Genomic DNA, 16923 nt, shown 5'->3' on the forward strand with positions numbered 1-16923 from the left:
CCAAAGATTTCTTAAACAAGTCACACCCAAACAAGAAAAATTAAAAGACTAAATTAGACTTCTTTGAAATTTAAAATGTCTGCTCATCAAAAGACATTGTCAAGAAAATTACTATTGAGTTTGAGAGTTCTTTATATACAAATTATTTGCCTGATATATGGTTTGTAAATACTGTATTGTCTCCTCACATAATTTTACCCATGTATTTGTGTGGTCTATGTCACTTTCTATCCTGTATTTTAATTTTTTTTTTTTTGAGACGGAGTCTCGCTCTGTTGCCCAGGCTGGAGTGTAATGGTGCAATCTCTGCTCACCGCAACCTCTGCCTCCCAGGTTCAAGCAATTCTCCTGCCTCAGACTCCCGAGTAGCTGGGATTACAGGCGCCCGCCATCATGCCCAGATAATTTTTGTATTTTCAGTAGAGACAGGGTTTCCCCATGTTGGTCAGGCTGGTCTCTAACTCCTGACCTCAGGTGATCTGCCTTCCTCAGCCTCCCAAAGTGCTGGGATTACAAGTGTGAGCCACCGCACCTGGCCCTTGTATTTTAATATTAAATATATTTCTTCTAAAATAGACAAACAATAGACTGGGAGAAAATTTTTGTAAAACATATCTGACAAAGGAATGGTATCAAGGATATGTACAACTGAATAATATAAAACAAACAACCCAATTTAAAAATGCACAAAGTATTTGAACAGAGATGTATGAATGGCCAATAAGGATATGAAAAAAAGTACTTAACATTATTAGTCATCAGGGAACTGCAAGTTAGAATCACTACACCCCACTAGAATGACTAAATTTAGTTTTAAAAATGAAAATACTATGCATTAGTGAGGATGTGGAGTAACTAGAACGCTTATGTATTGCTGGTGGGAGTGTGAAGTGGAACATCTTTTGAATCATTTCTGGCAGTTTCTTATGTAGTTAAACATACACCTTAACCTATGACCTGACAGTTCCAGTTTTGGGTATTTACCCAAAAGAAATGAAAATATGTCCATTAAAAGACTTGCACATAAATGTTCTTAGCAGCTTTATTTTTAATAGGCCCAAACTAGAAACAACCCAAACGTCCATCAGCTGGTGAATGGATAAACAAATACAATGGAATTGTATTCAGCACAACATGGATGAATCTCAAAAACATTATGCTGTGAAGGATCCCAGACTCAAAATGCTACCTACCTACTGTATGATTCCATTTATATGGAACATACACAACTAATCCGTAGTGGTTCTCTTTGTAGGATGAGGTGAGGGTGAATTTGACTGAGAAGGGGCATGAGAGAAGTTTCTGAGAATGATGGTAGTGTTTAATATCTTGACAGGGGTTTGGGTTATACAGGTGTATGCCTTTGTCAAAATTCAGCAAATATTCCCTTAAGACTGTGTATTTCAGGCCAGGCGCGGTGGCTTATGCCTGTAATCCCAGCACTTTGGGAGGCCAAGGTGGGCAGATCACCTGAGATCTGCAGTTTGAGACCAGCCTGGCCAACATGGCAAAACCCCATCTCTACTGAAAATACAAACATTAGCCAGGCGTGGCAGCGTGCGCCTGTAATCCCAGCTACTCAGGAAGCTGAGGCAGGAGAATTGCTTGAACCCAGGAGGCGGAGGTTGCAGTGAGCAGAGATAGTGCCACTGCACTCCAGCCTGGGCAGCAGAGCAAAACTCTGTCTCAAAAAAAAAAAAAAAAAAAAAAAAAAGATTTTGTATTTCATTGTATGTAAATTTTAGCTCAAAAGAAAACAATTACAAAAAATGGAACTCTAGTTAATAATATACATGCACTCTTCCTACGCCAGCGCTCAGCAAGGAGAAGACCATGTTCAGTTCAAGGGCCAAGATCGTGAAGCCCAATGGCGAGAAGCCGGATGAGTTTGAATCCGGAATCTCCCAGGCTCTTCTGGAGCTGGAGATGAACTTGGACCTCAAGGCTCAGCTCTGGGAGCTGAATATTACGGCAGCCAAGGAAATTGAAGTTGGTGGTGGTCGGAAAGCTATCATAATCTTTGTTCCCGTTCCTCAACTGAAATCTTTCCAGAAAACCCAAGTCCAGCTAGTACGCGAATTGAAGAAAAAGTTCAGTGAAGCATATTTTCTTTATCGCTCAGAGGAGAATTCTGCCTAAGCCAACTCAAAAAAGCTGTACAAACAATAAGCAAAAGCTTCCCAGGAGCTGTACTCTCACAGCTGTGCATGATGCCATCCTTGAGGACTTGGTCTTCCCAAGCGAAATTGTGGGCAAGAGAATCCACGTGAAACTGGATGGCAGCCACCTCATAAAGATTCATTTGGACGAAGCACAGCAGAACAATGTGGAACACAAGGTTGAACCCTTTTCTGGTGTCTATAAGAAGCTCATGGGCAAGGATGTTAATTTTGAATTCCCAGAGTTTCAATTGTAAACAAAAAATGACTAAATAAAATATATATTCACAGTAAAAAAAAATACATAAGTATTGGGGGAGGGATGTGTGCTGATATCTTCAACTTACTTTGAAATGTATAAAAATAAGTGGCTCGATCAATGGAAAGGTGGATAGATGGACAGATATGTGATAAAGCAAATATTGGAAATAGTTTTTTTGTTTGTTTGTTTCTTTGTTTTTAATTGAGAAGGAGTCTTGTTCTGTCACCCAGGCTGGAGTGCAATGACATGATCTTGGCTCACTGCAACCTCCGCCTCCCGGGTTCAAGTGATTCTCCTGCCTCAGCCTCCCAAGTAGCTGGGATTACAGGCATGTGCCACCATGCCCTGCTACTTTTTGTATTTTTTAGTAGAGGAGGGGATTCACCATCTTGGCCAGGCTGGTCTCGAACGCCTGACCTCAGGTGATCTGCTGACCTCGGCCTCCCACAGTGCTGGGATTACAGGCGTGAGCCACCGCGCCCAGCCAGGAAATTGTTAATGGTAGAATCCAGTGGTGAGTATATGAGTGATCACTGTAAAATTCTTTTAATTTGTTGCAGGGGCAGAGGGAGCAGTTAAGAAAAAGAAGACCAAGAGCACTTGGGGACAGTGACGTGGGAGAGAACTCTGTGAGACTTGGGCTTAAATCTCATTGTAGGAGGTAGTCTAGGAACCAATTGGAGAGTTTAACAGTGTCAGGATAATTAGGGGCCCAAGGTGGCACAAGAGTTTGGACTTTACCCTTTCAACAGTGAAGAATCATCTTAGATTTTTAAGCTGTGTATGACATAATAGGAGGTAGTATGGCATGGAGAAATGTAGGCAGTTAGGAGGTAAGGAGACAAAGGTTCTGGTCCCATTCACAGTATGTCCTTGGGTGAGTCAATTAATATCTCTAGGTTTCAACAAAATGCACTCTTCTTCCTTTGTCCCCTCCTGCATCCAAAAAGAGGCCCTGGAAAAACTCAGTTTAATTAGGCACAGAAGGAACTTTGTAGCACAGAAGGAACTTTGTAAATATATACTGAAGGAGAAAAATAAACTGCCTCCTCCTTGTCCTTCCACTCCACCCAACTCTCTTGCCCCTGCCCCTTGCCCCCTTGCCCCGATCCATTTGAATGATTTTTTCTTGCCCTTTAACTGGCTTTCCTCATCTGCAAGATCAGCAAGTTGGACTTGAAACATGGCCCTTGGGACAGAGCATACTAGTTACTCTACTCCAGCTCAGCTACTGATACCTGATTCTAGATTTAAGGCCCAGCAATGTTTCATTCTTCGAGCTCTTGCTGTCTAGAAACTTACTGTGCAAGGGTCTTCGGGTTCCTCAGGCCCTAGGTCTGTGGCTGTCTTAGAGCCAGAGAAGTCGCTCTTAAAGAGGGGGGCCAGGGTCTGAGAATGCAGGTACACAAAGTACATACACTACTAGCCTTTCCTCAGCTATCCTGAGCCCCACCGTGCCCCACCCCTAGGTCTCCCCTCATCTTTCCCTCCTATGGCCTCTTTAGCAGTTAGTGTCTACTGATGACCTGGTACCAGGGGAGTTATCTTTCTGGATGTATATAATGACTGATCTTTTTATTTAGACTGTGACTTCTTTTTTTTTTTTTTCAATGTTAATCCCTTTATATGAAATGAAAACAGTGCCTCACCTGATGGGTTAGAACACAGCAGATACATAGTAAGTGCCCAGGAAGTGTTAGCAATTATTATTATCATTTATCTCAGAAAATCTCTATGACAATTGTGTGAAGTACAATTATGATTACATATGAGATAATTGCACCACAGACATGTTATATAACTTGCAAAAAGCCACAAACCCAATAAGTGGTAAAGCCCAAAGCACAGAGGTTTTCTTTCTGTTCTTTTTTTTTTTTTTTTGATAATTCTTGGGTGTTTCTTGGAGAGGGGGATTTGGCAGGGTCATAGGACAATAGTGGAGGGAAGGTCAGCAGATAAACAAGTGAACAAAGGTCTCTGGTTTTCCTAGGCAGAGGACCCTGCGGCCTTCCGCAGTGTTTGTGTCCCTGGGTACTTGAGATTAGGGAGTGGTGATGATTCTTAACAAGCATGCTGCCTTCAAGCATCTGTTTAACAAAGCACATCTTGCACTGCCCTTAATCCATTTAACCCTGAGTGGACACAGCACATGTTTCAGAGAGCACAGGGTTGGGGGTAAGGTCATAGTTCAACAGCATCCCAAGGCAGAAGAATTTTTCTTAGTACAGAACAAAATGAAGTCTCCCATGTCTACCTCCTTCTACACAGACACAGCAACAATCTGATTTCTCAATCTTTTCCCCACCTTTCACCCTTTTCTATTCCACAAAACCGCCATCGTCATCATGGCCCGTTCTCAATGAGCTGTTGGGTACACCTCCCAGACGGGGTGGTGGCCGGGCAGAGGGGCTCCTCACTTCCCAGAAGGGGCGGCCGGGCAGAGGCGCCCCCCACCTCCCAGACGGGGCGGCTGGCCGGGCGGGTGCTGACCCCCTACCTCCCTCCCGGACAGGGCGGCTGGCCGGGCAGGGGCTGACCCCCCACCTCCCTCCCGGACGGGGCAGCTGGCCGGGCGGGGGCTGACCCCCCACCTCCCTCCCGGACGGGGCGGCTGCCGGGCGGAGACGCTCCTCACTTCCCAGATGGGGCGGCTGCCGGGTGGAGGGGCTCCTCACTTCTCAGACGGGGCGGCTGCCGGGTGGAGGGGCTCCTCACTTCTCAGACGGGGCGGCTGCCGGGCGGAGGGGCTCCTCACTTCCCAGACTGGGCGGCCGGGCAGAGGGGCTCCTCACATCCCAGACGATGGGCGGCCAGGCAGAGACGCTCCTCACTTCCCAGACGGGGTGGCGGCCGGGCAGAGGCTGCAATCTCGGCACTTTGGGGGGCCAAGGCAGGCGGCTGGGAGGTGGAGGTTGTAGCTAGCCGAGATCACGCCACTGCACTCCAGCCTGGGCAACATTGAGCACTGAGTGAACGAGACTCCGTCTGCAATCCCGGCACCTTGGGAGGCCGAGGCTGGCAGATCACTTGCGGTTAGGAGCTGGAGACCAGCCCGGCCAACACAGCGAAACCCCGTCTCCACCAAAAAAATATGAAAACCAGTCAGGCGTGGCGGCGCGCGCCTGCAATCGCAGACACTCGGCAGGCTGAGTTAGGAGAATCAGGCAGGGAGGTTGCAGTAAGCCGAGATGGCAGCAGTACAGTCCAGCTTCGGCTCGGCATCAGAGGGAGACCGTGGAAAGAGGGTAGAGGTAGAGGTAGAGGTAGAGGTAGGACTGTGACTTCTTAGAAGGCCAAATGAGTGGGAGATAGGCAAAAGGGTACTGTAAGGCCAGGACATTTTCTAAATTGAATTAAAAAAAAATCCTGCCAAATGCAATACCCCAAAACTTTTGCTAAAAGAAACCTCTCCAAATGGTGAGGAACTCCAGATTTTATCATATCTCTGGCACTTCACTTTCCCCATGAAGTTTCTCACTGGCTATTCTCCTTTAACAGCCTGGTCCAGGCATGGGCACAGAACCTCGTGCTCCTTAGAACAGACAAGACTAAGCTGAAACGCTCAATAAGACATTAGTAAAGAGAAGGCGATAACAGAAGGAAAATGAACACCAATAGCATTACAGAGCTAGATAATCTGGCTTCAAAGATAAGGCCTGCTCTCTGGGGCTAGCAAGTCCTGGTGTATAATAGTTGCCCAATACATATTTGTTAAATAAATAAATAACTATCCACAGTGGAAATCACACACTTCCTGCCCTCAAGGAGCTTAAGTTCTAGTGAGGAGACATGTCAAATGGGTCATTTTAATATAATTTTATAAGTGCTGTAATAGAGACGTATAACGGTTAAAATCACAGACTCTGAAGCCAGACTGCTATAGTGTGAATCATAGGTCCTTGGGCAAATTATTTAACTTTTTTCCATGTCAATTTCCTCATTTATTAAATGACGTCCCTAGCTCATATGTATGTTTATATGTTATATCACCTTCCACAATGATTTGAGGTAATTACAAGGAAAAGTGTAGATAATTTAGATGTAACATTAAGTAAATCCTTTTCCCTCTTTAGGCTTCAGTTTTCCCATCTGTAAAATGAGGAGTTTGGACTTTGTAGAAGGTCCCTTCCAGCTCTGATGCGCTATTTTAGATTTTGGAATTGGACTAATGCCAAAGAACATATCAGGTTTTCTTTTCTCTTTTCAATAAAAGCAATCTTCAAACTATCTTATTGCTAACATTTATTGAGCACATGATGGGTGCTGTACTAGGTGCTTTCCATACTTTACTTCTAATCCTCACAACAAACCTAAAAGATAGGCCTCATCTCTATTGTTTCTGAATGAAGAAACCAGGGCTTTATTACATCAAGTAGCGACATCTATTTATTTATCTACGTACTGAGCACCTTCTTTGTGTAAGGCATCGTGTTAAATGCTAAGGATACGAAAACAAATAATGCTGATTCTATGCCCAAGGTCAGTCTATCAGAAGAGAATGAGATGTAATAAGGGCAAAGCCCATCTTTATACTGCATCGTAACCATGTACCCAAGACACCTCTGTTCCAGTCCTGCAAGGGTTCCACTTTTCAGAATGGGGAAATTCTTAGCACAATATTTAGCACATAATTGGCTTTCAATAAATATCTCTTAAATGAGTTTTTTAAATGAATTAATAAAAGGCTAAAATAAAACTCATTAAATTTCTCCCTTGGATAGGGTCAAGAAACCAATACATTACATACTTTCAGTTCAAGCTTTGCTCTTCTATACTACCCTCAGAGGGTTAAGTATTTTCTATCTCTTTCTTTTCCATAATGCTTCTGCTGCTTCCGTCATCTTTCCCCCTCTATGCCTGCTCTAATAATAGACAAACTATTAAGCAGACTGCTTCCTTGGCATTCAGGAAGCAGGCTCCATGCACATAGCCAATTGATTTGTTTTTAATGCACCTATTATTATGAATAGCCTTCTGGCTCAAGCTGAAATCAGGCTATGTCCAATATCCTTTACCCTCCATGCTTCCACTTTCGCCATCTAAAGGTGTTGACATTCAAATCCATTTCCCAGTAATGTGGGTTCCTATCAGGACTCTTCCTGATTACAGGTAACAAAACCAAAGCCTTCTCTGTCTTTGGACTTCTTTTCCACTATCAGAGCACCCTGGCTCCTTCTCACAATCCATCCCAGTTGGCTCTTGAATCCAAGGTGATGCTGTGTCATCAGAGCTCTGAAGTTACCCTTATAAAGATGAATAAAGAAAAGGAGTAAAGGATAGAAAGATTATGTACTCACCTTCTTGAGAATGCCCTCAATATATCATCCATTCTCAAGTAGTTAGAATGATTTAGGCACAGGGCAGGGAGATGATGTGAATGACCTAGTGAATTCCATTCCAGCTGGAAAATCCTATTGGAGAATAGGAGAGGCCCAAAGCAAAGATGTGCCTTTTGCCTAAAATAGACAATTTCAGGGGTAGAAAGGACTTTCAGAGGTCATCTGGTCCATGGAATCCCAAGCACTAAGCTGCATACCCATGACAGTCTATGGCATTTTCATCAGTGTGCTGACACACATGAGAAAAATTGTTATCAACTGACATATCTTAAGAAAGCCTTTTCTGAGTAAAAGACTGTTCTTTCCACACTTTCTAGATTTTGATGTTAAAATATCATTTCAATAATAACATGACAGTGAAGAAACATGTCCTTACATGACAAAAAGTTGGCATTACGTTGATCCCCAAAGTTTCTGGAGAAACTTTAGAGAAATTTTACTGGTCTTTCAGATTGAAATTTTGGGGAAGCATTGTTTTGGTTTTCTGGTTTCCAAACCTGGCAGTGCATTAATATTACTAGGGGCCTTGTCCAATCTATGTATTCCTGGGTCTCACCCCAAGATATTCCAATTCAGCAAGGGTAGAGCGGGACCTTGGAGTTGGTGCTTTTAGAAAAGTCTCTAGGGGATTTTTGTGTGCAACCAGGTTAGGGAACCACTGCTCTGCTTCACCCCCTAAAGTGAATAATCAAGGGCATAAGTAATTGGAATGATTCCATTGTGGGCTCATTTCTGTTAGAGACAGAAGAAAAGCACATTCTGTAACCTGCAATATGAATGAGAGACATCTGCTAGGGTTTTTCCAAGGTCCACAGTCAGACAAGTAAAATAATGTAAAGGGCTACAGGAGCCACACCTTACTTACTTGTTGTGAGCATAACCCAAGCTGATTAATCTACACATGGTAGTAGTATTCTCTAAAGATCTGTTGTTGCTGATGATGTTTATTGATCAAGCATGATTTAGAGATTTATAGAGGAAACTTCATGCATCTTAGGACACTAGCCCTATTTCTACAACTTTACTCTCAACCTTGTCTCATCTTTTATATACTTCTATCTCAAAATGTCTTCACCCAATTTAGTAGAGTTACATTCAATAAATGGTAGTTATAATTATTAACAGTTTCTACTACAATGTAAGCTCCATGAGGACAAGAACCATTGTATGTCCCCAGTGCCTAATATAGTGAATGGTACACATAGTTGCTTGATAACTATTTGGGAAATGAATGGCTGAGTGGTATGAGAAAGGCAAGTGACATGCTTCCTCAGTTCAAGACTAACTTTGCTATCTGTTTTGTTTAACCTACTCTGGAGAGTCAAGAACGGTATGGGATCTCAACTGGAAGATAGTTAAGAGAATGGTTGGTGAAGGCCGAGAGACCAGCAGACGCTCATAAGTCATGGAATGGTGGCTAACCAGTGTGTTTGCAGCATGGTATGAAAGGGAGAAAAGGGTGGGAAGAAAATGACAGGGAGTAATGCTAGAGTGGTTGAATATGAGCCCCTCAGAAACAGGCACCAGGTCTTTTATGTTTGCGTTTGGTATACAGTACAGAGCCTGACACATAGAGGTTCTCAGTAAATGATGAATGAATGAATGAATGAACAAATGAGGCTGGTCCCAAACCACAGAGGACCTTTCATGCCTGGCTGAGGAATTTAAACTTGAAAGTCAAATGGACAATCATTGAAGATTTGTAAAGTAGAGGAGTGTCATGAATAAAATCGTACTTTAGAGCTATAATTGACAGGATTGTTTGGGGGCCAGGGGAAAAGAGACAGGAAGCCACAGGCACTTCAAACCTGATTCAGCTCCTAATTCCCAATCTCCATTAACACTATACCATCCTTTCCTTTACTCAAGCAAGAAATGTCAGTTTCTTCCCTTTCTCTCATTACACAAATCTGTTCTATCAACTCTACCATAACAATGATTGACAGAGATATCCCTTTGTCTCCATTTCCATAGTCAGTGCCCTATTTCAGATGATCACCTTTTTTTCTTCTTTTTTTAAGACAGAGTCTCACTCTGTCATTCAGGCTGGAGTGCAGTGGTTCGATCTCGGCTCACTGCAACCTCTCTCGCCTGGGTTTAAGCCATTCTCCTGCCTCAGCCTCCACCATGCCCAGCTAATTTTTGTAATTTTGGTAGAGATGGGGTTTCACCATGTTGGCCAGGCTGGTCTCGAACTCCTGACCTCAAGTGATCTGCCCGCCTCAGTCTCCCAAAGTGCTGGGATTACAGGCATGAGCCACTGTGCCCGTTCCAGATCATCAACATTTTTTTTTGACTTAGTCTATTGGTTCGTTTCCTTACATCTTATCTTTCCATGCCATCATCTAAACCGGCAGTCGCCAACTTTTTGGCATCAGGGACTGGTTTTGTGGGAGACAATTTTTCCACGGGACAGGGGTTGAGGGGGATGGTTTCAGGATGAAACCGTTCCACCTCAGATCATCAAGCAGTTAGATTCTCATAAGGAATGCGCAACCTAGATCCCTTGCATGCGCAATTCACAATAGGGTTCGCACTCCTATGAGAATCTAATGCTGCGGCAGATCTGACAGGAGGCAGAGCTCAGGTGGTAATGCTCACTCACCTGCCGCTCACCTCCTGCTGTGTGACCTGGTTCCTCACAGGCCATGGTCTTGGTATCAGTCTGTGGCCAGCGGTTTGGGGACCCCTGATCTAAACTGTCACCACAATATTCTTTCTAAGATGCAGTTCTGATGTTACTCTCCTACTCAAAACAGTGGTGATCTTGTATTATATATCAAAAATAAAGCGTTTACCTCTTAGCATGGCATTTAGTAACTCTGCAAAGTAGTTTGCAGATAAACTGAGGCTCAGAAAGGGAAAAGAAATTGCTTAGGATCATACAGGCATGCAGCGGTAGAACCAAGGTTAAAACCCTGGTCTCCTGATGCCAGTGATTTAGCCGTTATAAAGTATCTTCTAAAGAGGGGAGAAATGGTAGTACTGCATATGTTACTAGAATGGTGAAATGGCAGTTACATAATTCTGTCTTCTGGGTGGGGCACATACTTTGAAACCCACACAAATGAGCAAAGATCCCTGTTCTACCTCTTACTAGCTTTGTAGACTTAAAACAAGTAACTTAGCCTCTTGGAGCCTCCATTTCCTCATTTACAAAATGGGAACAAATCATCCCAATCTTATAGTAATGTTATGAAGATTATATAAGATCTCATATATAAAGGGCCTAGCACAGTGCTAGATTCACAGGAGATTCTCAGTGAGGGTCATCACCCACCCATACTCCCATTCCAGTGATCTAAAAACCAGTTTAAACAATGAGGGAAGTAGAATTCAAGATAGTAAGAATCTAGATGGATGCAAGATTCCAGGGTCTATTCCTAGTTCCGGGGTAGGAAATAACTATTTTTAGGGTCTTCTTCAATCAGGTTCCCTGCAAGTGGAAACCAAACTAGTGTTCTCCTGGGGCAACAGGTGGTCATATGTATGGGGAGACCCCTGACTAAAAAGCAGACCTTAAGCCCCGGTGCCCATAGTGTCCATGACTTGTCACTCCTCGTAGCTGAAGCATTATGAATTTTTATTAAAATGTAAACGTTTCCTAGGAGAGGCAGACGGCATACATATTAACTTTCTGGCCTGATTAGCCTTCACTTCCCTCTTTCTGTGAGTAGACTCTATAGCTCTGTGCTTTGAGCTCAAAGCATGCTCTGATGTAGGGGACCACCTTCCCCTACCCTTGGCCTTTTAAAATCCTACTCAACATTCCAGGCCTTGCAGGAACGGTGGCTCATGCCTGTAATCCCAACACTTTGGGAGGCCGAGGCGGGTGGATCATTTGAGGTCAGGAGTTTGAAACCAGCCTGGCCAACATGGTGAAACCCCATCTCTACTAAAAATACAAAACTTAGCGGGTGTGGTGGCGCACGACTGTAATCCCAGCTACTCGGGAGGCTGAGGCAGAAGAATCGCTTGAACCAGGGATCGGAGGTTGCAGTGAGCCGAGATGGCGCCACTGTACTCCAGCCTGGGCTACAGAGCGAGACTGTCTCAAAAAGAAAAAAAAAATTCCAGGCCCATCTTGAACACCACCTCTTCCAGAAGCCCACTGTGATAGTGCAGTCAGATCCTGCCTTCCCTCCTCTGTCTCCTCCCAGGGAGCCTCAAATCCTAGACTCTTTTGGTGAAACACAGGGAGCATGAAGCTTCTCGTTATATGGAGACCTGCCTTGAATTCTAGCTTGTCCTTGACTTGGCCCATGATCTTAGGCTAATAAATGCCTTGACCTCGTTGAGCCTCAGTTTTCGTGCAAAAAAGCAGGTAATAATAAACCTTAGGGCAATAAGGGACGTGCTCTGTTCGGGCAATGCCTTCCCTGCTGAGTGGCGTGGCCCTGTGATTTTTGAATTTGGCTGATTCCTCTCATATGGCAGCGCAAGCCCCTCAGGACGTCTATATCCTTCCACCCAGCTCCGCCAGCCCTCAGGTGCTTAATGACTGTATTTACAGGCATCTAGCGCAGCCACGCAGCCCCGGAGCTGCATCACCTCTGGCTATGCAGTCTTTCACTTATCAGGAGGGTTAATGAGATGCAGGGTAGAAAGGTCTTGCCACTCGCCCGCCCGCTCGTGGAAGCCGAGTAGCTTGGTAACGACACCACGACTTCACGTTTAGTGCATTAGACGCGTAGACCCTTAGGGGAGGCAGAGCTTCCCGGTATCGCCGAGCGGGCCCTGAGGGCTGAGGCTGGGCACCCCTGCGCACCCCTGCTGAGTGCCCGGCCACCAGAAAGACAGATCCCCCACCTTTCCTTCTCCCTGACCCGGCGCGCTTCCTGGGGAACAAACTCTCCCTTACCCTCAGTGGGGCTGGGGCCTCAGTCTGCGACATACAGTGGGACTCCCATGTCTGCATGCCTGAGGTGGGCGGAAGGGGGCGGTGGGTGCTGGGAAGACATCCGTCCGCTTGCAGCTCCGCTGAGTCTCCAGCACCTGAAAAGCCGCGGCCGAGGCCTGAGGGACCAGCCCAGCCGAGATATCGGGGGCGGGGCAGCCCAATCCCAAACTGGCGGCTGGACCCGACTCCAACTCGTTCCTCCTAAGTCCGGGACAGATTGTCGGGAGGAGCTTGAACTGAGCTTCGGCTCCCGACTGGGCCTGGGCCCGGCCCCCACTGGTGCCACCTCCCTCCCTTCCTGGCCCGGCTCCTGGCCCACACTCGGCCCTGGCCCGGCCCTGGCCCGGCCCAGACCCGGCCCGGCCCTGGCCCGGCCCAGACCCGGCCCTCTGAGGCTCCTCCGGGCTCCAGGTTGGCGCAAACAAAGCCCTGATTGACTGCCCGGAGGGGCGGGCCTCGCTGCATGGCCGCCTCCTCCCCTCCCAGGCCGCCAGGGATTTGCCGGGAAGAGCGGGGGCAGGGGGAGACTCCCGGGGGTGCGCAGGACCGCGGGGGGCCGAGTCCTCGGGCTCGAGAAGATTGTGTCCACCCGCTGTCCGAGGCCCAGGCTGTCCCCTCAGGTCGTCCTCCTCAAGTCCAAGGAGGGACATGGGAGCTCCTGAGGGCAGGGTGGGGTTCCTCGCGGGCCAGCTGTCGTCCTAGGGTCCCCGGTGCCACCTCAGTTGCGGGCTGCTTGTGAGGAAGGAGGGTATGGGAGCAAAAAATAGGAGGGGTCTTCCCGAGGCTCGGGGTTGATCAGTGTCGGTTCTAGAGCCTGCGGGGAAAAGAGGGCAGGAGAACAGGATAGTTTGTGCTTCCTTTTTTCCATTTTAACTTTTCCTCTAACGGGCATCCGGGCAAGAACAGGGTTCAGTAGTTTGGGAAGGGAGCTGGGGGAGGCAGTGGCGGCTGGAGTAGGTAGGCGAGTAAAAGGAGGAGGAAGGGCTGGGGAGAAGAGCGAGGCTGTAGCGGCTGCCTGTTGAGGGAGGAAGAGGTGGGGGGTGTGGAGGAGGGGGAGGAGAGAGAGATGACATGGGGAGAGGAGGAGGGGGGTTGGACGTGGGAGGAGGAGGAGAGGGCTCGAGGGACCGTCTGTCGCGGGACGGGCTGGCCAGCTGGGGCGCGGAGCCTGGAGGAGGAGGCAGCGGCAGCGGCAGCAGCAGCCCTCCGAGCAGCAGCAGCTGCAGCAGCAGAAACAAGTACCAGCCACAAAGCGGCTCCTCTGGCCCAAGCAGCCACAGTCCCCCCGCCGCGATGGCGCTGCAAAGCCAGGCGAGCGAGGAAGCAAAGGGGCCCTGGCAGGAGGCAGACCAGGAACAGCAGGAGCCGGTGGGTAGCCCAGAGCCGGAGTCTGAGCCGGAGCCTGAGCCCGAGCCCGAGCCCGTGCCAGTGCCCCCGCCCGAGCCCCAGCCGGAGCCCCAGCCCCTACCGGACCCCGCACCCCTGCCGGAGCTGGAGTTCGAGTCCGAGCGGGTGCACGAACCCGAGCCCACGCCTACGGTAGAGACCCGCGGCACCGCGCGCGGCTTCCAGCCTCCCGAAGGTGGCTTCGGCTGGGTGGTGGTGTTCGCTGCCACCTGGTGCAACGGCTCCATCTTCGGCATCCATAACTCTGTCGGGATCCTCTACTCCATGCTGCTAGAGGAGGAAAAGGAAAAAAATCGCCAAGTGGAGTTCCAAGCAGGTGAGTGGCCCCGCACGCCCCACTTGGCATTTTGGGCAAGGTTGGCCGCTCCCGCTGCCACCGACCCCATACCTCCCGGTCCGAGGCGCCCCTCCAACGCGCCTCTCCGACTCCTCCCCTTACCCCTTACCCCTTGCCCCTTGCCCCTTTCCATGGCTCTCCTAGGGTGCGGGTTGCGGGGCTTTGGGCAGCTTGGACTGGGGAGACTAGGTGCAAGGCGTCCCGGGGGTACGAACTGGGACATTCATTGATCCTTGGCAAGCAATGGACTTTTTTTTGCCCTGGGACAAATCTAAATGCACCTTTCAGGTTTAAGGTACCTTTGCCCCTGTGTGCTGGGGGAAAATATTTGCAGGACTTTTTTTTTTTTTGGAGGTGGGGAGAAGTCATGAGGAGAGGAGAGAATTGAGAGGCGGGGCGGGCTCTGAGAGAAGCACTGTACCGCTGATCTCCGCAGCAGCCCCCCGGTTCCTTTGGGGAAACGGAGGTGTTTTCTGTTAAAAACACTTTAGGAATCCTGATGACTATGAGCGAAGAGTCAAACACATGGCAGGCGTGCGTGTCTGCAAGAGAGAAAGGGAGGGAGGGAGTTCGAGTCGGGGTGTGAGTGCGTCTCTGGCCGCCGCCGTTACGGCCCAGCTGGGCCCGGCAGTCCTCTGCCGCCCCGCGGGAGTGAATGGATCTCCGTGCCCTATGAGCCGAGCCCCAGAGCGGGCGGGGAGGCGGTCTCCGCAGTCTCCTGCCAGAGAGGCGTGAGGCCGCAGGCAGGCTGGGCCCTGCTGCTCACTCCGCACCGCCCCCAACTTCAGCCCTGCCTTCCCCGGCAACCCGCGCCTCTCTGCTACCGGTGGGGTGCCTCGTTCGGCCTACAGCCTGAGTGCCAGACCCGCCATTCCAGCTTTCCCCTGGAGCTGACTTGATCTCAGACAGAGTTGGGGGGCATAGCCCTCGCTTTCCAGGCCAGTGGACGCAAGACCCCAGGCGTGTGCGCTCTTCTCATTGAGGCCGCCTGTGAGCTGGGAGAAGTCAGAGGAACCATCTCGCTTTCCCAGCAAAGCCGCTGGCGAAATCCCTCAGCAGTTCTGGTGAGGGATTCAGACGAAGACGGGGGATTGGGATGCCCTCTCTGGCAAGGCTTGCTCCCTCTCGTGGCTCCTCAGGACAGCTCGACTCTTGCCACCAGCCCCAAGTTCACAACTCAGAATATGTGGCTTTTCGCAGTGTTGCCCTCGGACTGAGGAGTTCCATCCTCTCGCCAACCTCCAACCCCCACATATTTCTACTGCCATTTGAGGGGACCTGGGAATTATTAAGTGAACATAGAAACCTTGAATTCTGGAGTGTCCACCTGTGGATTCCCTGGGCCCTCTCCAGGACTTGTGGTTTTAGTTTGCAGCTTTGCTGGACTTCCCTGGCAGAAGGGGCTTTGGGGATCTTGGTGCCTCAGACCTTGTGATCCATTGGCACAGCAGCGGTGTGCAGGCCCCGATGAAGATAGTGCGTCAGTGGTTGTCAAAGGAAGTCTCTTGACTACCCAGGCCCACTGTGATGCTGGAATGGAGGGGTCCTGGGACAGTGTAGAGCAACTTCTGCGGGGAAGATGGCTGCCACAGTCACCCCTGGGACCACCTTTTTCCCTGCTTTGATGCAGTTCAGGGGCTCCTGGGAAAGCAGGCAGTGTAGGGACTCATGCTGTTGCCTAGGTTACCTCCAAGGGCACCTGCTGAGCATTGCCCTGTGGTTGAAGGCAGGCTGTTGGCCTTCAGGATCAGTGAGTGGCAAAGTCTGAGTGAAACTTGATGAGAAGCAGTAGAGGCTAGGCTGAAGCTAGGCCCTGGCATTTATATGGTGTGAGGAGGCCTAGAGCTGTGATCTTAGGAGTGTATAATAAAACTTGGAAAAACCACTATTTTACCAGGAAGAGGCTCACTGCTGGGGAACAGACTTCAAAGTAGGTGATCATAGGGGACTCAGGGGGAGGGCTGGCTGGGACTTTCCGGTCAAGACCTCACAGTGCAGCTAGAGGGTGGGGGTGGTGGTGGGGGTGCAGTTGGCTATGCAGAGGTGTGGCTAGTGCATACTCTGACACAGACCAGGTTCACTGAGGGGCTGAGGTCACTGGTTTAAATTATAGTGAGTATAGGTCAGGAAGAAACAGAAAGGAATTTGGTATGTCCCTAGGGTCTCAGAATACTTTGGCTTGGGTCCTTGCTGTGGTGTATCTTGAACTCACTGACATTATTTTTTATACTAGAGGTTCTTAGGGACACCACAGTTTTTATTTTGGAAAAGTCAGGAACACCCTATCACATGGAGCTCCTAGAAAATCTCATCCTCAGTACTACCTTTGCTGAGCTCTTCAACTTTCCCAAGCAACCATTCAGATCCTGAGATTCTGAATGTCTTTGCCTGCAGACACTTTCTGCTGTTTACTCAAAATTTCCCAGCCGTCTGTGCCACAGCACTGGTGTCTCAAAGGGATAGAAGAAGCTAATAGAAGTTTGTGTCATTTTTATCAGCCAGTATTTGTCCAATAGCCA

At 48.4% G+C, this 16923-nt stretch overlaps 1 protein-coding gene, 1 long non-coding RNA gene and 1 pseudogene across 3 annotated transcripts in view, besides 1 other annotated feature; 2 read left to right on the forward strand and 1 right to left on the reverse strand.

The window, feature by feature from the left end:
* Nucleotides 1799-2452, forward strand: RPS7P14 (ribosomal protein S7 pseudogene 14; annotated as a pseudogene).
* LOC105373252 (uncharacterized) lies at nucleotides 3982-12964 on the reverse strand. Of its 2 annotated transcripts, XR_938445.3 has the most exons (3): nucleotides 12622-12964; nucleotides 7719-7877; nucleotides 5591-5705 (listed from the first exon to the last, which is right to left on the reverse strand). It is a non-coding gene; the product is annotated as an uncharacterized LOC105373252 (long non-coding RNA). The 2 variants fall into 2 exon arrangements; XR_007068267.1 differs by having other exon boundaries at nucleotides 3982-7877.
* Nucleotides 4226-4878: an enhancer, noted in NCBI's record as "NANOG-H3K27ac hESC enhancer chrX:73631745-73632397 (GRCh37/hg19 assembly coordinates)". NCBI's record gives its function as "activates a minimal SCP1, AML or CMV promoter by ChIP-STARR-seq in primed H9 embryonic stem cells {active_cell/tissue: H9 hESC(primed)}" and the evidence as "EXISTENCE:reporter gene assay evidence [ECO:0000049][PMID:30033119]".
* The window catches only part of SLC16A2 (solute carrier family 16 member 2), a 112424-nt gene continuing 109309 nt past the window's right edge, over nucleotides 13809-16923 (forward strand). The window contains exon 1 of the mRNA NM_006517.5: nucleotides 13809-14383. Within this exon, the coding sequence (NP_006508.2) occupies nucleotides 13954-14383 (430 nt within the window). The 5' untranslated portion in view covers nucleotides 13809-13953. The remainder of the gene's footprint in view (nucleotides 14384-16923) is intronic.

This window comes from Homo sapiens, chromosome X, assembly GCF_000001405.40.
Source record: "Homo sapiens chromosome X, GRCh38.p14 Primary Assembly".
Lineage (NCBI taxonomy): Eukaryota > Metazoa > Chordata > Mammalia > Primates > Hominidae > Homo > Homo sapiens.